Source organism: Homo sapiens, chromosome 15, assembly GCF_000001405.40.
Source record: "Homo sapiens chromosome 15, GRCh38.p14 Primary Assembly".
NCBI lineage: Eukaryota > Metazoa > Chordata > Mammalia > Primates > Hominidae > Homo > Homo sapiens.
The window spans coordinates 83,255,538-83,276,874 of record NC_000015.10 but is presented as its reverse complement, the minus strand read 5'-3'; the positions used below and the strand labels follow the sequence as shown (position 1 = coordinate 83,276,874).

The 21,337-nt window shown below is 40.9% G+C and overlaps 1 protein-coding gene across 4 annotated transcripts in view; it reads left to right on the top strand.

Annotated features, from left to right (window-relative positions):
• The window catches only part of BNC1 (basonuclin zinc finger protein 1), a 28,781-nt gene extending 7,790 nt beyond the window's left edge, over positions 1 to 20,991 (top strand). For 3 of the 4 annotated variants that reach the window (NM_001717.4, XM_011521893.2, NM_001301206.2), the window contains exons 2-5: positions 8,643 to 8,742; positions 9,804 to 10,039; positions 12,060 to 13,924; positions 18,749 to 20,991. In NM_001717.4, the coding sequence (NP_001708.3) occupies positions 8,643 to 8,742; positions 9,804 to 10,039; positions 12,060 to 13,924; positions 18,749 to 19,433 (2,886 nt within the window). In that variant the 3' untranslated portion in view covers positions 19,434 to 20,991. Of the gene's footprint in view, positions 1 to 8,642; positions 8,743 to 9,803; positions 10,040 to 10,711; positions 10,967 to 12,059; positions 13,925 to 18,748 lie in introns of those variants that run through there. The other variant, XM_011521894.1, reaches the window with a different exon arrangement.
• The last annotated feature ends 346 nt before the right edge of the window (positions 20,992 to 21,337 follow it).

Genomic DNA, 21,337 nt, shown 5'->3' with positions numbered 1-21,337 from the left:
TACATGGCCCTCTCCATAGTCAACTGGAAGATCAGTGTGTAAACTAGAAACTGCATTTGGCTGCAAATTAAAAGAATTCCTAAATAATAGTTGCTACTCTTTCTTCTCAGCCATCCTTAGGGCATGACCTCGGTATTGCCTCATAGTCACAAAATGGTATCTGAGCTCCTGCCATCAGGTTCTTGTTCCAAGAAAGAGGAAGAGGGAAAGGCAGACAGGTCTTACAGTAGAGTCATCTGCTATTTATGAGGAGTTTTCTACAATACTTCACCCAACAATTTGTATTGTATACCATTGGTCAGTACTTAAGTCACCTGACCACCAACTGAGACTTGGAAATTAAATTTATTTTTACTAAGGCATATTGGGGAAAAAGATAACTGGGGGAAAAAGATTAATAATCAGTAAGCATAGTACAGTTCTCTCATTGATTTGTTCAATCATTCGTTTACTTTCTCAGATAATACCAGTGGAGGGCTTACCAAGTATCAGGCCCAGTGCTAAGTGTTGGTTTGGAGTTTTAGTTGTTTCATTGCCTCTTGCAGGAATGATTCATTGTGAAGCAACTTTTTTAGGGGCTTTTACCTTAGATATTTTTGGTAGCTCTGTGCAGAGTCGGACAACCAGAGCCCAGAAGACCGAAGAACTTACTTGTTGTGGGTCTGGCAGCAGTAACAGTCTCACTGTTTTGATTGATTGCTTCAGCTCCCCATCTGTGTATCCACATTAATATGGCTAACAGGCCTCTGAGGTAGGCAGGAGTAGGTTTCCAGCCCACATGATGGCCAAAGGCACCAAGGCATGGAGCTGAAGTTTTTACATGGCTTAACTGGAAGTAAGACATAGGTTGAGGCCAATCCTAGGTTTTACTACCTCTCAGTGAAAGGTGCCCGGTGAGGTGAACGGGAAGGGGCTCGGGCTCCCCAGCCCTGCAGCCAGAGGTATCTTTTTAACAGGGAGATTATATTCATTTCATACATAAAAAAAAAAAGGCTTACTGTTAAAATCCAGACTCCTTCACCTGCCCCACAAGGTCCTATGCACAGTGGTCTCTGACACCTGTCTTATTCTCATTTTCTGCTAATAACCTCAACAACTTCACTCCAGCTACATTGGCCCCTTAACTCTTCCCTGAACACCCATCTCTATTGTGCCTGAGAGCCTTTGCACTTGCTATGCCTTCTCCCTTAAATACTTCCTCTCTCTCCAGTCTGCACATGACCAACTCCTTGGCATGCCTTGGGACTCAATTCACATGTTACCTCCTCAAAGGCTCTTGATGATGACTCAATCTAAAACATTCTTACTCCTGTCCCTATCCCTCCATGCCACCCAGTTAAATCATTAGCATAGCTTTCTTCTTAGTTTTTTTTTTTTTTTTTTGAGATGGAGTCTCTGTCGCCCAGGCTGGAGTGCAGTGGCACAATCTCGTCTCACTGCAACTTCCACTTCCCGGGTTCAAGCAGTTCTCCTGCCTCAGCCTCCCAAGTAGCTGGGATTACAGGCATGCGCCACCACGCCTGGCTAATTTTTGTATTTTTAGTAGAGATGGGGTTTCGCCATGTTGGCCAGTCTGGTCCTGAACCCCTGACTTCAGGTTCCCTGCCTCGGCCTTCCAAAGTGCTGGGATTATAGGCGTGAGCCACTGCGCCTGGCCTCTTCTTAGTTCTTTCATAACACTTGCCTTATTCTGAAATGATACTGTTTGTTGTTCATTTCCTGTCTCTGCCCTTTAGAATATAAGCTCCTTGAAGGTAGGGACCTTATCAGTTTTGTTCAACATTTTAATCTGTAGAATTTAGAACAATGCCTGGCTCATAAATGCTCAGTAAATACTTATTCAATGAATGAAATGTCTTTACTGTGTGGAACTTTAATGTCCCCATCTGCAGAATGTGTATGATAATACCTAACTCTGAAAGTGGTTGTAGGAATTAAATGAAACCATAACTGTAGTTAGCACCAAATACTGATATTTCAAGGCGTAATCCTCCCCTAGTATCCAAATTTGAGACCATCCCAGTAGCCTGTAAGTTCTTTACCTTCCTCATCTATAAAATCGGGATAGTAATACCTAATCTCCCTGGGTAGTTGTGAGAAAGAAATGAAATAATTCTTGTACACTGATTAGTACAGTATCTCACATGTAATAAATGCTCAATAAGGCTCACCAACTGCGTGACCCTGGGCATGTTACAAATCTTCCATAAATTTAAGTTTCTGAGAATAATTCTCTCCTCACAGTACTGTAGTGAGGTTTAAAATAGATCACATGATAAACCACGTCAAAAAGCAGATGCTGGAAGGGTGGCTAATCTACCTACCATTGAACTCAGCCTTGTCCAGTAGAGCTTTCTGTGATGATGGAAATGTTGTGTATCTCCACTGTCCAATAGAGTAGCCACTATCTACATGTTGCTACTATGCACCTGAAATGTGGCTAGTGTGACCAAGGGGCTGAATTTTACATTTTATTTATTTATTTATTTTGAGATGGAGTCTCACTCTGTCACCCAGGCTGGAGTGCAGTGGCGCGATCTCAGCTCACTGCAAGCTCCGCCTCCCAGGTTCACACCATTCTCCTGGCTCAGCCTCCCCTGTAGCTGGGACTACAGGCGCCTGCCACCACGCCCGGCAAATTTTTTGTATTGTTTAGTAGAGACGGGGTTTTGCCGTGTTAGCCAGGATGGTCTCAATCTCCTGACTTCGTGGTCCACCCACCTCGGCCTCCCAAAGTGCTGGGATTACAGGCGTGAGCCACCGCACCTGGCCATTTTATTTAATTTTAATTAATACAAATGACTCCCTTCAAAGGGCCAGTGCTGTGAATCTGGGAACCCCAAAATTCCCTCTTCCCCTTACCAGTTAGTCCCCCAGGAATATCCCCCTGGGTTTATCTTCAGTGAAATGAAAGTATATGCACATACTAGAGATGAAAACAGCCTTGAACTAAACAGTTTTTATTCTGAGCTCAATTCAAATCCCATGAGAGACCTACTCTGTCTGGCACTGAATATCTATGTATATACCCAACTATGTGCCTAGCCTGATCACTGCCAGGAATTCAACTCAGCATCTCCTGACAAGAGGCCTGTGGTAGCATCTCCTCAAGCCAAAGGTAGAACAGGGTGTCCGAGAGACCAAGTGGGTCCAGGAGCGTGCCTAAAAACTAGGTCATAACTTTCTATCCCAAGACTGCAAAACCCAATCTTCCATCACATACTAGGTGTGTCAGTAGTTTTTAGATAAATGAGAAAACGATAGTTACGAAAAAGCAAACCAGGATTTTGAATGTTGATTTGTAGCACATCAAAGTGATTAATAACAATTCTGAAAATAGTCTGATTAAGATGAGTGCATTAAAAAGCAATGATTGTGTCTTGATGAGTTCAGAATGTTGTAAACATCTGCTTTATGTTTCTGAAGAATGGAACAAGAATGGATTCCAAAGGCTATACATTTTAAGAGTTTTCCGTTTTGATTTACATGAGTACTTTTTGTCCTGTAATTAGAATATTTTCATTTAATTTCATTTTAGAAGTTTTCATTTATCTTTAGATAATGGTGCTGTAATTTTACTATGTCGTGGAGTTCTAAGATGGGTGGAAAAACCCAAGGGCCTTGATATTGGAAGTTTTCTTAGACACTGTAATTAGCTTTTTTAGTTCATAAATAATTCCTCTGAGATTTATTTCCATAGATGTTTAATGAGCTTTATTAAGCCTTATTCAAATGGGCTCATGGAGAACCACAAGAATATTTCTCATAAAGCTGCATTCATTCATTGAATTATAGACAAAATTATTTAAAATTATCCCGAAACTGAAGCTAAAATTGCCCCCAAACTAAAACTATAGGCCCCAAATGCCCATGGGAGTGGTATAGGCCCCCCCCCAAGGGCATTTGGTAGTGTCTGGAGACATTTTTGGTGGTCACAACTGGAGGGTAGGGTGTAACTGGCATCTGGTTTGTAGCAGTCAGGGATGTTGATCAGATGTCGTACATACAGAACAGCCCCCCACTACAAAGCATTATCCAGCCAAAATGTCAGTAGTGCCAAAGTTGAGAAAACCTGACCTAGGTGACGAGATGCAAAAAATAAGTTTCAGTATTAATCTATGAAATGTGCTTGGAATTGTTCCCTCTATGATTTTGCTGTGCTGAACCTGAGACAGTCACCTGGTTTCCTGGGTTGCGTGAGCCTTTTGAGCAGAGTCTTCAGGAAGCATGTGCTTAAGGACATCTCTACTTCTGGTTAAAGCAGGTCTTATTTTCCAAATAAGCAAAATGTGAATTTACTCATATAATTCCAACATCTTGTTTTTAAAGAGTGAATGGGGCCTGGTGCAGTGGCTCACACCTGTAATTCCAGCACTTTGGGAGGCCGAGGCAGGTGGATCATCTAAGGTCAAGAGTTCGAGACCAGCCTGGCCAACATGGCAAAACCCGTCTCTACTAAAAATACAAAAAAAAAAAAAAAGCCAGGTGTGGTGGTGCATGCCTGTAATACCAACTACTCAGGAGGCTGAGGCACAAGAATCACTTGAACCTGGGAGGTGGAGGTTGCATTGAGCCGAGATTGTGCCACTGCACTCCAGCCTGGCCAATAGAATGAGACTCCGTCTCAAAATAAATAAAAATTTTAAAAAAAGGAATGGCATTTTGAGGGATATAATCCAAAATAAGAACTTTTCTCCCTTTTAAAATTTTTCTGTAAAATGGTCATATTTATAGAATCAAGATTGTGAAATATTTCAGAGGTTTAGTACTGAGTGTACTGGTGCTATTGAGAATGTAGCAATAATTGGTTCATCCGTGAGCTGATGTTCAGAGGGTTGCAGCCAAGTTTGAGATGCTGGACAACGTTTTAGGTGTATTACAAACTAAGTTAATCGTGCCTTTTAGAATTTTTGTTTTGACAGTGTGTAATGTAAATTCAACCATCACTCACTTGTATCCTTTAACTTACATTCAAGGTAACTATATAATTATGTATATAGGTATACTTACATAGATGTATACTGTTCATGTATTTAATACATTTGTATGTGTATATGCAAGTAGAAACTCTGTAACCAAAAAGTAAAATAGTTTCTGTCATTAGAACAGTGTTTCTTGATTTTTTTTCATTAACCTCCACACCTAAGGAGATTTTAGACATTTTTTCTTAATTGTGCCTCTCCAAAGAAATTTTAGGATCACACCATTGCGATATAGGTTTATGTATGTATGTACATCTGTGTTTATACATAGAGTAATTCTTTCACCCCCCAAGACCAATTTTTATTCCTTTGGGGATGATAGCATCACCCTTGAGAATGCATGCATTATTAAAGTGAGTGTTAATCACATGGAGTTTTTTGTATTATACTGTACAGTTTACAAGAGCAAAACCTTTTCTCCCACATTTCCTGTTTTTTGGTAGCCTCTTGAATGGATTAGGTAATGCTGTTGCTATTTACTGTACACCTCAGTTTTAAACAGCCCTATTCCGCATCACCTGAAAATGCCTAGCTGCAGCTGTGTTCAAACCCATTCTAGTCCAAAATAAATCGTAGAAGACAGTCAAATCATGAAAAATTTAACCTGTATTTAAGCAGGGTCACTGGTTTTTTTGTTTTGTTTTTTGAGGCAGAGTCTTGCTCTGTTTCCCAGGCTGCAACCCCTACCTCCCAGGTTCAAGCGATTCTCCTGTCTCAGCCTCCTGAGTAGCTGGGTCTACAGGTGCATGCCACCACACCTGGCTAATTTTTGTATTTTTGGTAGAGACAGGGTTTCACTATGTTGGACAGGCTGGTCTTGAACTCCTGACCTCAGGTGATCTGCCCACCTCGGCCTCCCAGAATGCTAGGATTACAGGCGTGAGCCACTGCACCCAGCCTGTGTTTTAATAATATTTTTATTGAGATGTAATTGACATACCATGAAATTAACTTACAGAGTGTACAGTTGAGTGGCTTTCAGTATATTCATAGAGTTGTGCAGCTATCACTGCTATCTAATTTTAGAACATTTTCATCACCTCAAAAAGAAACCATGGTCAAAATTTGAAACTTCTGTGCTTCAAAGGATACCATCAAGAAAGCGAAGATAACCCAAGGATGGGAGAAAGTGTATGCAAATCATATATCTGGTAATGCACGTATATCTAAAATATATGGGGGTCTTGTATAACTCAATACTAAAAAGGTAAACAACCCAATTTAAAAATAGGCAAAAGATCTGAAGAGACATGTCTCCAGGGAAGACATACAAATGGCCAATAAGCACATGAAGAGATGCTGAGCACCATTCGCCATCAGGGGAATGCAAATCAAAACCACAATGAGATCTCACCCACAGTCACTAGGATGGCTCTAATGAAAAAAACAGACAATAACAAGTGTTGATGAGGATGTGGAGAAATTGGAACCCTCATACGTTGCTGGTGAGAATGTAAAATGATACAGCTGCTTTGGAAAAGTTTGGCAGTTTCTTAAAACATTAAACAAGAGTTACTATGCAATCCAGTAGTTCTAGGACTATACCCAAGAGAAGTGAAAACATGTGTCTACCATATTATTGTACATGTTCCTTTTGGGGAAGATGAAAATGTTCCAAAATTAGATTGTGATGATGGTTGCATAACTCTGTGAATATGCTAAAAATCATTGAATTGTACACCTTAAATGGGTGAGTTATATGGTATGTGTGAATTGTATCTCGATAAAGCTGTTTTTCTCAAAGATGAAAACAAACCAAACAAGAACACACTCCCTCCAACTACTACCCACTAGCAGTCACTTCTTATCCATACCCTACTCTCCACAGCCCCAGGTAACTACTAATCTGGTTTCTGCCTTTATCAATTGGCCTGTTCTTGACATTTCATGTAAATAGAATCACACAGTCTGTGACTTTTGTGCCTGGCTTCTCTCACTTAGTACATAATATTTTCAAAGTTCATCCATGTTGCAGCATGTATCAGTATTTCATTACTTTTTATTGTTCAGTAGTATTCAATTGAGTGGATATATCACATTTTGTTTATCTGTTCATCAGTTGATGGATGTTGGGGTTTTTTCTACTTTTTGGCTATTGTGAATAATCTGCTATGAACATTCATATACAAGTTTTTGTAGACATGTTTTTGGTTATTTTGGGTATACAACTAGGAGTGGAATTTCTGGGTCATATAGTAACTCTATGTTTAACTTTTTGAGGAACTGCCAGAATGTTTTCCAAAGTGGCTGTACCATTTTACAATCCCACCAGCAACCAATTTTTAAGTGGAGACTGATCATATACTCCTTAAAATGAATTTCCCAAGTCTTCAGCTAGATTCTCCTTTCCCTCTCCCCCATGCAGGGCCACATAGTCCCTCAATTGGCAGATTAGAGGTTTAAACCTTAATTGTAAGGCTTTTTTATCCCTCCTCCAGATGCGCGCGCACACACACACACACACGCACTTCCCAGTTTCAAGACTCTTGTGAATCATACAAATTCTACCCAGCAGCTCTTCCCAGGAACCTCACTGACAAAGCTGCTTTGAGGGCTTTTTCTGTTTAATAATAGATTATATTCTTCAGTACTGTATCTCCTTTGAGAAACTCATCTTAAAAATATACGTGAAGCTTTGTGGGTTTTGTCATTGTTGTTTTTGTTTTTTTGAGAGGGAGTCTCGCTCTGTCGCCCAGGCTGGAGTGCAGCGGTGTGATCTTGGCTCACTGCAACCTCAGCCTCCCGGGTTTAAGCGATTCTTCGGCCTTAGCCTCCCGAGTAGCTGGGACTACAGGCATGTGCCACCATGCCCGGCTAATTTTTGTATTTTTAGTAGAGATAGGGTTTCACCATATTGGCCAGGCTGGTCTTGAACTCCTGACTTCGTGATCCACCCACCTTGGCCTTCCAAAGTGCTGGGATTACAGGCGTGAGCCACCACGCTCAGACAAAGCTTTGTTTTTAATACTGGAACTTTGTTGGACATGTACATCTCTATTTTCAATTTCAGCTATATTTTTGTACATTCTATGCCCCCACATAAAACATGGCACCATAACATGCAAGGGGCATTGATGCAAGGCTTGTTCAGCCTGTGTCTGTCTCTGACAGTCACATAGTTCAGTGAATGGCGTCAGGGAATCATCCTCAGTGTAGTCAGCTATTACATGTTCTCAAATCTTATTTGTATTTTCAGCTTCTACCATATCTGTGGGTGGGGGGAAATAAATTTTATATGTAGATTACTCTCAGTTCATATTATTCTCCCTTTTACTTGTTCCAAGACAGCTTCTGTATACTTTCCAGGGTTGCTGCTTTAGTCAACTTAGAAATTTGGTGAAAATATGTTTACCCTTTCTATGAGCTTAATAACAGTGCAGGAGATTTCATTCTAACCCATAATCTTTTCTTATAAAAAGTTCTGATGTTTAAACTCATTCTTGAATGTGGAATATCTGTGTAATGTGTTCACGGTCTCCAGGTGCAGGGGTGGCTGCTCATCTTTCCAGAGTACAATATACACTTCTGGGCCTGGCACACAGTGGGCACATATTGCTCAATAAGTGCTGCCGAATGGAGGAATATGTTTTGTTTGAAATACAATGAATGTTTCACACATCACTTACATGCTCCACATACCTGTTTTCTCCTCTTTTTCAGGCTATCAGCTGTACTCTGAACTGTAGTTGCCAAAGTTTCAAACCCGGGAAAATAAACCACCGTCAGTGTGACCAATGCAAGCATGGATGGGTGGCCCACGGTAACTTTATTTTTCACCCTCTCTTGGCCTGTAGTGTTACCTCTAAGTAACTTAGAGTTATTCAGGAACTGATTTAATATCTTAAGAATGACAACTAACTAGTAAACTAGTAAGTTACTAGCATGTCCCAGGTAACAGGCTAAGATTCAAAGAGTCTTGAATCTTAACTACTCTATATGGGAAGTGTCTTATTAACCTCATTCTAAAGATGTAGAAACTAGTGCTTCATTGCTATCATTCTGTAATGATAGAAGTATTCTGTTCTATCTATTACAGCCTCTAGGCTAGGATTGCCAGATAAAATACAGAACGCTTAGTTAAATTTGAATTTCAGATAAACAACAGATTGTTTTTTAGCCTAGGTATATCCCAATGAATATTTTTAGTATATGTATATCCTACCCATTCATTGTTTATCTCAAATTTACGTTTGGATTTAACTGGGAATCTTTTTTTATTTGCCAAATCTGACAACTCTACAGTAGTCACTTGTGGCTACTGAGTACTTGAAATGTGACTAGTGTAACTGAGGAATGGAGTTTTAAATTTTGTTTAATTTTAACTTAATCTAAATGTAAATAGCCATATGTGACTGATGGCTATTACATTGGACAGCGTGGCCTTAGGGGGGTTAATTTGTTAAGCCCCACAACTAGAAAATGTCAAGCCCCACAACTAACGCTCAAACTCAGGTCTCTCAGATTCCCAAACCCAGATTCTTTACCCCCAGACTCTATGCTTCCTGATTAGCTATTCTCTTGATTATGCACCTCCCACCTCAGTTTTTACCCCTTTTCCTTATTCCTTCCTTGTTTGTGACTATTTCTTTCCTTAGCAAGGCCACAAGAAAGGGAGAAAAGTCTCAGGCTAGTTCATGTATTTTAGAAGTTCCTGTAAATAATTTGAAGTTTCATAGCTATTAAGGTATTTAATCATTTGTATATTCATGTATTTTCTGTGGAATAAATAACCAAGAATTGGTCCTAACCTACTTTTTTTTGCAGTGTTTCTCTTACAATTAGAACTTTTCAAAATGACATTTCCTCAATTTGATTTTTCAGCTCTAAGTAAGCTAAGGATCCCCCCCATGTATCCAACAAGCCAGGTGGAGATTGTCCAGTCCAATGTAGTGTTTGATATTAGCAGCCTCATGCTCTATGGGACCCAGGCCATCCCCGTTCGCCTAAAAATCCTACTGGACCGGCTCTTCAGTGTGTTGAAGCAAGATGAGGTTCTCCAGATCCTCCATGCCTTGGACTGGACACTTCAGGATTATATCCGTGGATACGTACTGCAGGTACAGTAAACATGAACATTGTCCTCCTAGGGTGCTTTCTGAAATTTGTGCCCATATAACTGACGTAACCCAGTTACCTCCCAATGCTACAGCCCTTGGTGGCCATCTTTCCCTTTAATACTTCTTTTCTAATGGCCTAAGCCCCTACCTCATGTTCTTGGGGGGAGTCCAAGGCTTTCCTCCAAGATACCTATGAAGCTTTAGGAGCATTACATATTCTCTGATTTGGCTTTTACTAAACTACCTCTTCCACAATAAACCATTTGCCCCATTTCAGGTGCTGCCTCCATGTCTTTCATTAGTCCCAAACTACTTACTGACACAAGATCTGTCTGTATCAGATTTTACTGAGAGTTTGGGATTGAGAAAGGGAACTTACATGAACCACACAGCAAACAACTTATAATTTCATAGCACACCTTCCTGTTCTTTAAAGCCTTCTGCCATCTCACTGATGTTCTTCCTTCTTAGGCTCTATTTTTTATATTTCTGTGTTCATGTATGCATTTGCTCATTCTCAATCTCTCTCTCTATATGTGTGTGTGTGTGTGTGTATGTCTCCCTCCCTCCCTCCCTCCCCACACCCCAGTTTTCTTTTGGCATCTTCATATATTCTCTTCTTTTCTCCAGTATTCCAAGCCCTTCATCCTCTCTGTCCTCTTTATTTTGCAGAGTAGTTTACCTCTGTTCCCAGATCATGCTGAGTGTGTAGGCTTCATGTTTCATTTCCAAAGAGGCTATCAAGGTGTTTTTAGAAGCAAAGAACATGTTTCCTGAGATGAAGCATCATTCCTTTAAGATATGAAACAGCTACAGCATTGTATTTTCTTGCCATTACATTAGAAAATGTCAAAGTTTGGTAAAAATTTCAATGAAATGGGAGGCGAACATATTTCCAAGACCAACATAGATGTCAGTCTTACTGAGGTAGGCCATGTAATTAAAATGAACACTAAAAACAATTTTGTAGACCTAGATCCACTCCCAATAATCTTAAGCTTAGGCATATTATCCCCATTTTCCAGTCAAAAAACCAGAGACTTAGAGTGCCTCAAAATCATGCTGAAAGTCATTTCACTAGTATGTGGCAGACCCAGAATTTGTACTCACTTCTTTTTAACTCAAAAGACCATAATCTTCCCCTGTAAAAATGTTTGCTCACCTCTAGTGCAGGACCCCCAGCAGACTAGAAACAACCGTTTATGTAGAGTAGCATTATGACCTTACGTTAGGACATAGATCAATATTTAATGATCCTAATAATCTTGCTTTCTAGTGTTAGGATTAAAAATATGGAATCAATTACCTTGAACCTCTAGTGCATGAAAAATTTATGATGTTACATTCTTCATCATCTTCAAAACTCTTACATGCACTGTGAAAAATCTCAGTAGGCCATCAAATACATGTTCTGTGATAAAATATTTATTGTAGTTTTGGGAAAAGTTAGGCCTTGCTAGAGTTTGAAAGATCTCCAACACTCCAGTGTAATTACAGCCCTGCTTTGTGAATGTGTGCAGTAGATCAATACAGTTCATTTGTTTTCTGATGTTAGTTGCTTAGGAAGATTATTAAACTTGCAGCAAATGAATACTTGAGCTGCATCTAGGCCTGATTGTTCCATCTATTCTCTTTAGATAAAGAAGTTACTATTGTTCAAATGATACATATTTTAATTTTAGCAGGGAAAATTATTATGTCTAATGCTAGACAAGCAATTGGTCTGAAATGAGGTGAAAAATAATCACTACATTTCCCTGACTTCACTTGAGTAATATGGTTTTATTTGTCTCTTTTGCACCAATTGTAGGACTACTGCTAATATTTGTGCAGCTTATGTTCTGCACAAAGCTTCTGGCCTGGGAGAGTAGGGTGAGCAGGGACTAAATTCCCCAAAGCCCTGCATTCATCTTTTTCCTATATGCACAAAAGTATCCCATAGTCTAGTGGACTACATTTTTAGAGGAAAGGGTAAGGAGTTGTAAATTGATCACACTTCTAACATCTGGTTTGGGTTTAGGATGCATCAGGAAAGGTGTTGGATCACTGGAGCATCATGACCAGTGAGGAAGAAGTGGCCACCTTGCAGCAGTTCCTTCGTTTTGGAGAGACCAAATCTATAGTTGAACTCATGGCAATTCAAGAGAAAGAAGAGCAATCCATCATCATACCACCTTCCACAGCAAATGTAGATATCAGGGCTTTCATCGAGAGCTGCAGTCACAGGAGTTCTAGCCTCCCCACTCCTGTGGACAAAGGAAACCCCAGCAGTATACACCCCTTTGAGAACCTCATAAGCAACATGACTTTCATGCTGCCTTTCCAGTTCTTCAACCCTCTGCCTCCTGCACTGATAGGGTCATTGCCCGAACAATATATGTTGGAGCAGGGTCATGACCAAAGTCAGGACCCCAAACAGGAAGTCCATGGGCCCTTCCCTGACAGCAGCTTCTTAACTTCCAGTTCCACACCATTTCAGGTTGAAAAAGATCAGTGTTTAAACTGTCCGGATGCTATTACTAAAAAAGAAGACAGCACCCATTTAAGTGACTCCAGCTCATACAACATTGTCACTAAGTTTGAAAGGACACAGTTATCCCCTGAGGCCAAAGTGAAGCCTGAGAGGAATAGCCTTGGTACAAAGAAGGGCCGGGTGTTCTGCACTGCATGTGAGAAGACCTTCTATGACAAAGGCACCCTCAAAATCCACTACAATGCCGTCCACTTGAAGATCAAGCATAAGTGCACCATCGAAGGGTGTAACATGGTGTTCAGCTCCCTAAGGAGCCGGAATCGCCATAGCGCCAACCCCAACCCTCGGCTGCACATGCCAATGAACAGAAATAACCGGGACAAAGACCTCAGGAACAGCCTGAACCTGGCCAGCTCTGAGAACTACAAGTGCCCAGGTTTCACAGTGACGTCCCCAGACTGTAGGCCTCCTCCCAGCTACCCTGGTTCAGGAGAGGATTCCAAAGGCCAACCAGCCTTCCCAAACATTGGGCAAAATGGTGTGCTTTTTCCCAACCTAAAGACAGTCCAGCCAGTCCTTCCTTTCTACCGCAGTCCAGCCACGCCTGCCGAGGTAGCAAACACGCCTGGGATACTCCCTTCCCTCCCGCTGTTGTCCTCTTCAATCCCAGAACAGCTCATTTCAAACGAAATGCCATTTGATGCCCTTCCCAAGAAGAAATCCAGGAAGTCCAGTATGCCTATCAAAATAGAGAAAGAAGCTGTGGAAATAGCTAATGAGAAAAGACACAACCTCAGCTCAGATGAAGACATGCCCCTACAGGTGGTCAGTGAAGATGAGCAGGAGGCCTGCAGTCCTCAGTCACACAGAGTATCTGAGGAGCAGCATGTACAGTCAGGAGGCTTAGGGAAGCCTTTCCCTGAAGGGGAGAGGCCCTGCCATCGTGAATCAGTAATTGAGTCCAGTGGAGCCATCAGCCAAACCCCTGAGCAGGCCACACACAATTCAGAGAGGGAGACTGAGCAGACACCAGCATTGATCATGGTGCCAAGGGAGGTCGAGGATGGTGGCCATGAACACTACTTCACACCTGGGATGGAACCCCAAGTTCCTTTTTCTGACTACATGGAACTGCAGCAGCGCCTGCTGGCTGGGGGACTCTTCAGTGCTTTGTCCAACAGGGGAATGGCTTTTCCTTGTCTTGAAGATTCTAAAGAACTGGAGCACGTGGGTCAGCATGCATTAGCAAGGCAGATAGAAGAAAATCGCTTCCAGTGTGACATCTGCAAGAAGACCTTTAAAAATGCTTGTAGTGTGAAAATTCATCACAAGAATATGCATGTCAAAGAAATGCACACATGCACAGTGGAGGGCTGTAATGCTACCTTTCCCTCCCGCAGGAGCAGAGACAGGTAAGGCATCTGTAGGCAATCATTTTTTCTAAGGCAGTGGCTCTTCAAGTTTAACATGCATCAGAATCACCCGGAGAATTGTTAAAACACAGACTTCTGAGCCCCACCCTAGAATTTCCACTTCATTAGATCTAGGGTGAGGCCTGAGAGTTGGCATTTTTAACAAGTTCCCAGATGATGCTGATGTTACTATTCTGGGGGTCACAGTTTGAGAAACACTGTTGTATGAATTTTCATATTTCAACATTCATGAATACAAGTTCCCAGATGATGCTGATGTTACTATTCTGGGGGCTACAGTTTGAGAAACCGTTCTATGAATTTTCATATTTCAACATTCATGAATTTTTACTTCCAAAAACCTAACCTAATTTGGCTGCAAAACCTGACCTGAAGTGATGTGAGGCTACTTGTAATCTTCTTTAATCTCCTTTTGTGTGGATTTATAAATACATATATAGTACAAATAGTAATGGATTTATTATAGGGCATTAACAATGTTTCATTATATGCATCATTCTGCCTGTCTGAAGTCTGAGAAATTCTGAACTCAGAAACACATCCGGCCACAAGGGTGTGGGATAAGAAATCATGAACTATGGCCAGGCGCGGTGGCTCATCCCTGTAATCCCAGCACTTTGGGAGGCCAGGGCGGGCAGATCACAAGGTCAAGAGATCGAGACCATCCTGGCCAACATGGTGAAATCCTGTCTCTACTAAAAATAGAAAAATTAGCTGGGCGTGGTGGCATGCACCTGTAGTCATGTCCCAGCCACTGGGAAGGCAGAGGCAGGAGAAACGTTTGAACCCGAGAGGCAGAGATTGCAGTGAGCTGAGATCATGCCACTGCACTCCAGCCTAGCGACAGAGCGAGACTCTGTCTCAAAAAAAAAAAAAAAAAAAAACATGAACTAGTTGTCACATTAGCAGGTTGAGTAAAGCGTAAACAACTATTTGAATAAGAGTGAGAAGGGAGCTTTTTAAATTGCCACTATAGCGTCCCAAAACGTGACTCATTTTCATTTGATAATATGAAATCCATAGAATAAAATATTTTCCTTTATTTCTAGTTACCCAGCTACATTTGAAAGGAAGAATCACTGCTTGATTGAAGGTTTTTTAAATATTAAGTTATAAAAGAATAAAGGTGATTGGCAGGTTGTTTCAGGGACTGTGATTTCTGGTTGAAAGATCCTGAGTTTTCATGACACACACACGCAGGCAAACTGTTTACAAAGTCCCCCGCTATAGAGCATATCTCATCACCGTGGGGATAGCAGTGGTGTTACTGTCTTGCTTGTGCTTTTCTTCATGAACTTGAGTCACCTAACCACTCTTCAGGTCACCTTCCTCCCTAGCCTATAAATGGAAGAGCAAGCATACCAAAAGATGGCCCCAGGAGGCTTATGGAAAAGATCAGCTGCCTGATGAAATGGAATATGATAAATGTTAAATGGTACACTGAATATTAAAATGCTACATTTGCAGAAACAAGCTTGACTTGAAGCAGTTCAACACCACCACTTGGTCCAAGTTGTAATGCCTAATTTGTTAAGAGGGTGAAAATGTACAGACTCCCACACACATTCCTGGACAGGGCTCATAAGAACATACTTATTGTCTTTAGCAAAGAGGATAGAGCACAGGAGATATTAGTTAAATGTTTATATTAAATCAGTGTTTCTACTGATAGGATGTTGAACCAAACCACCAAGGCACCCTAATTAGTGAACCAGTCCTTCTTCAGCCTCCAAGAGGAGGAGTGTTTGTTCATGAATAAGCTGTTGCTACAGAGACAGTCATGTTGGTCATATTATCTTTGATATTTATGATACTGTTCTATCCTACAATATCTACTAAATTGGAAGGCATATTGGATTCAAGATACTTTTTCATTTGATATTTATTTTTTCATAGATTTAATATTTCCTTATGTTCTGACCTATTTGTATTAATAGATCCGAGCCTTCCCCCACCACAACAGGAAAGCATCTTGCGTTATAAATTAAAACCACTAATTAGTCTAGAACTTGAAATGCATTTTACCTAGAATCTATGATTTAAGTTACAGTATTTTAAATTTGACTTTGTGGGCAGGCCCAGACCTGACACCATTTCTCTCAGTCAGAGATTGAGAACCACATTCCTGTAGGGACATTTAACTTCTCTTTGAGCCACTGCTACTGCCAGCAACAGTTACCAAGACCCATCAGGAAGGGACTGGGACAACACCCTGGATGCTTATTTACCCAGCAAATATTAAGAACTGTCTATGTTAGGTGCTGGGGACATAATCCCTGCCCATAGAGGCCTTCTGTAGTGGAGGAGACAGACCAGAAACAGGCAATTACAGTTGAATGTGATTACTTCTGCAGTGAAGGAAATGTAGGCTGTTGTGGGAGGGCACCTTGAGAAGTTAAGGAAAGCTTCCTGGAAGAAGGGATATGTCTACACCAGTAACTCTGAAACGTTTTGGTCTTATAACCCCTTTACAAATACTTAAAACCTAAGGTTACTCAAGAGCTTTTCTCTATTTGGGTTATATCTATCAAAATTTATCATATTAGAAATTAAAAATTTAAAAATTGTAAAACTTTAAATTATATATTAACATATGTTTATGAAAAAAACCCTACATTTTCCAAAGCAAAAATTTAGTGAGATGAGTGGCTTTGTTTTACATTTTTGTAAATCTCATTAATGTCTGACTTCGTAGAAGACAGCTAGATTCTCATATCTGCTTCTGCATATGCTCTGTTGCAAAATTGTGTTACGTAGCCTCTGAAAAACTCCACTGTTCACTCATGAGACAATGAAAGTGAAAAAGGCAAATAATATCTTAGTATTATGAAACTTTGACTTCAGGAACCCCCTGAAAGGGCCTCAGAGATCACTAGGGGTGCTCAGACCACACTTTGAGAACCACTGGTCTCAACTAATCAAAATAGAAGCCAAGAGGAAGAGTTGGAGGGGAGAGGTAGAGGTTGTAGGGTTGAAGGGAAGAGATGGAGACATGGGCAGTGAGTACAGGATTAGGAGAGTCCTAGAAACCAAAGCCTGGCACATGATCCAGAGGGTTTTTACAGTTGTAGTAGTTACTGGTCTTAGGGGACATGGCACCTCAGGAAATGTATCTAACCCTCTAAGGCTTGAGAGGAGCGAGAGCCCACAAGTTAGCCATTAGTATGCATGGAATACTCAGGAGTTGAGTATGAGTCCCAGAGGTTTGCTTTGTTCCAGTAGGGACCTTTCTTTACAAGGTTCCAATAAAAGTGTTTGTCTTTCTTTTTAACCACTTGTATGTACTGGAACCTGTACGTCCACCCAGTGTCTGGTTTTCTGTCGGCACATACCAGCCCCTTCAACCCAGAATGCTGACATAATCACAGGGCAGAGTTGGAGTTAAGAAGGGCTGCTTGCAAAGTGGGTGATCTGGGAGTATAATTCTGATTATGTCCAGAATATATGTGTAAGGGAATAGAAGACAGAAGTTGAACAGTAAATTTTGTACATTTTATAAAACATAAGTAAGCTTCCCACACACGTCTTTGGGGATTTAAAAAGTTCAATTCTTAGTTATTTTGGTGAAGGTGTTTTCCCAACTTGACTCTGCCATACATTCTGATATGTATTGGGGGAGTGTTTTCTCTATTTGGAATAATTCTCCTATCACCTTTAAGATTGTAACCCCCTTGGTAAGGACTTTTGCTTGTCAAAAGTTAGCAGAGGATTTCTGAGGAAGACCAACATTGATTTACAAGTTAATTCCAAATGATAACATATGACTAAAAGGCATGTGTCATAATGGATACTCATTATCTGTCCTTCGAGAGTAATCATTGGGTGGAAGATTGGTGGTATGCTTATTCTGCTGCATTTGCAAAACTTCTGTCTGGTATAGGATAGTGAAACGTTACAAATATGAACTAAACTACATACACACACAATTCTAGCCAATTGGATTCTCAACCACACTTTTAGAATTTTTGGGATGAAGTGTATGTCAATGCTCTTGACCAGTGCTATCCAATAGAAATACGATGCAAGCTTCATATGAAATTTTAAATATTATAGCCACTGTAAAAAAGCAGATGCAGTAAAATTTAATAACATTTAACTTCAGTATATCCAAAATATTATCCTTTCAACATATGATACTAGCCACATTTCAGGTGTTCAGTATCCATATATGGCTAGTGGCTATCATTGGACAGTGCAGCCCCAGAAGGTAATGTTTCCTGATTTCATTGAAATAAAGTCCTTTTCTTAGTTCCTTATAGTTTGTGACCAGTTTTCTCCTGGGATCTCCTGGTTCCAGTGTCCTAGTTAAACTAGTCTAGTTGATTTAGTCTAGTCATTCTGGGAGACAGACCAGAAACAGGCAATTACAGTTGAATGTGATGACTTCTACAATGGGGGAAGTGCTGCTGTGGGCACATGGGAGGGCACCATGAGAAGTTAAGGAAAGCTTCCTGGGAGAAGGGGTATGTCTAAACCAGTAGCTCTGAAACAGTGAGCTCATTTACAGAAAGGACATGAGGTACAGAAAGTACATCAAACAGACACTGGAAATCAAAGAAGACTACATATTCTCAGTATCCAGACTGTCGGCTTTCCTGGTGAACACTAACTTCTGGCAAGCAATGAACAACAGTGGGTCTGTATCCACCAGACAGGTGTTACATCCCATGGGGGCCTACCCCCTTATCATCGGTGCTCCCATACCACATGTTTTTCCTGGTATCTACCAAGTCTCTCCACTCAGAATGATGACTGTTTCTAAAACAGCCCAACCCATTACTAACCATCTTTTCACTCTTGTAGACACAGCTCAAACCTAAACCTCCACCAAAAAGCATTGAGCCAGGAAGCATTGGAGAGTAGTGAAGATCATTTCCGTGCAGCTTACCTTCTGAAAGATGTGGCTAAGGAAGCCTATCAGGATGTGGCTTTTACACAGCAAGCCTCCCAGACATCTGTCATCTTCAAAGGAACAAGTCGAATGGGCAGTCTGGTTTACCCAATAACGCAAGTCCACAGTGCCAGCCTGGAGAGCTACAACTCTGGCCCCTTGAGCGAGGGCACCATCCTGGATTTGAGCACTACCTCGAGCATGAAGTCAGAGAGTAGCAGCCATTCTTCCTGGGACTCTGACGGGGTGAGTGAGGAAGGCACTGTGCTTATGGAGGACAGTGATGGGAACTGTGAAGGGTCGAGCCTTGTCCCTGGGGAAGATGAGTACCCCATCTGTGTCCTGATGGAGAAGGCTGACCAGAGCCTTGCTAGCCTGCCTTCTGGGTTGCCCATAACCTGTCATCTCTGCCAAAAGACATACAGTAACAAAGGGACCTTTAGGGCCCACTACAAAACTGTGCACCTCCGGCAGCTCCACAAATGCAAAGTACCAGGCTGCAACACCATGTTTTCGTCTGTTCGCAGTCGAAACAGACACAGCCAGAATCCCAACCTGCACAAAAGCCTGGCCTCATCTCCAAGTCACCTCCAGTAACAAGATGGCAAACCAAGTATGCTCAGATAAGCTTTTTTCATAATTCAGGAATAAAGTAGTCCATAGAAATGTTTCTGTTTCATATCATTTGGGGCGAGTCAGGCAAAAGTATTTGATTTGACTTTATAGTTTTCCACAGCACAATGAGCAAAAGACAAACCTCGTGGGAAGATGACACTGGGGCAGCCCTTCCTATTATTTTTCTTAGCCCAAGAGGTCTTTCACTGATACAAGGAAAACTTGCAGAAATGTGATTTTTCCCAGATTTGTTTACATGTTCCCTGGGACAGATCCAGGTCTGCAGATCGACACCAGTGGGCCCAGGACCTGGGGGTGGCTTTAAATGAGGCTTGCAGTGTTAAAGGTCTTGGATAAGAAGGGTCCTGGGGAAGAAGACTCTGTGGACAAGATACCAGTCCCCAAAACAGCATTTTCAGTTCCTTCTTCAATTAGTTTGAAATCCAGACCTGAGTTTGGAAGACTGATTTTTTGAGACCATCCCTGTGTTTGGAGTGGATAATTGTCCCTCCCCTCAGCCCTGCACCAGAGGTCTCATATGTTACCCCAGGGAGTTCTCAGAGGATTGGGTTGGCCTCTAACATGTTCCTTGTTAATTCTTGTTCTGTAACATGCATTCAAGAAGCTAGGGGAAAAATATCTCATGCACTTAAATAATGGTCTTCAATTTAATTTAAAAATATTTTGACAATATTTAATTTGTGCTTATGTGGTGTTTGGTGTGAGTGCAGATATTGCACTGTGTCACCTCTGGATCTCTGCTCAGAAGCAGAACAAGTGATGACCTAAATGTCAAAATCACTGCTCGTTTTCATTTGGTGAACTTCAAACTCTGTTCTTTTTGGTCACCTGTGGAATGAATGCAAGCATGATTTTGGCAGGAACATTTGTACATATTCTGCCGTAGATAATGTGGTTCTGATGGTTGTTGTGTATTTTCAGTATCACTGGATCCCTCAGTCTTCACCGTTTTATAAACGTATAAGATTAGGATGAACTTTTGAATTTACTTGGTAGGAAAAAAAGTAGGACATTATTGCCATATTGTATGTCTTAATATTTAACTTATTCGGAAATATATTCCACACTGTTACATACATTTTCCATGGTAGAAAGGAAGTTCAGTCAGTCCTGTGGAATGAAACCATCTCCTAAAATTCAGCATTTGCAGCATTCTAAAAGCCTGTGTAGGTACAAGGACATTGATTTTGTATTCAGAATTCAAGTTAACTATCTTTTAAATTCGTGGTTGATGTAAGTAATAAAAAACATTCTTAAAGTTGAGGGTTATAAGAGAGATTATTTCTGTGGTCTAAAGGTTAAAAAGCCAACAACCTGTTACCAATTATTTCAGCTTTTTTTGTTTTAATAAGTGTGACAACTTAAAACTTGTTTCTATTTAAAGTGAAATGTATCTTTCAACTGTTTAGTTACCCAGCTGTTTAATATTCCAGTCTTCCCAAAGTGAAAAGATTTGTATACAAATGTTTTCTATGATTTAATAAAAATATATGGCACACCTTTTGTTTAAAAAGGCAAACATTTGTAAAAATGGTTTTGTCATATGGGCTGCGTTTTGTACAAGTGTATATCCTTATGCACACACACAGAGATGCATTATGAATTTGACAGAGCTGAAAACCCTGGAGGGTGGGGGAGAGTTTGGTGGACAGGGAAGAGTGTCAGTAACTACTGACACATCAAACAAAAGTTGCAGAAATTAGTGAGTTCAAAAAGAAAAGAAGTGGTTACTTCATTGGGAGGGGGATTTGGGTGTGCTGATCTTTTATCAAGAAAAATACAGCCCGGTCCCAGTGGCTTATGCCCGTAATCCCAGCACCTTGGGAGGCCAAGGCGGGCAGATTACTTGACATCAGGAGTTTGAG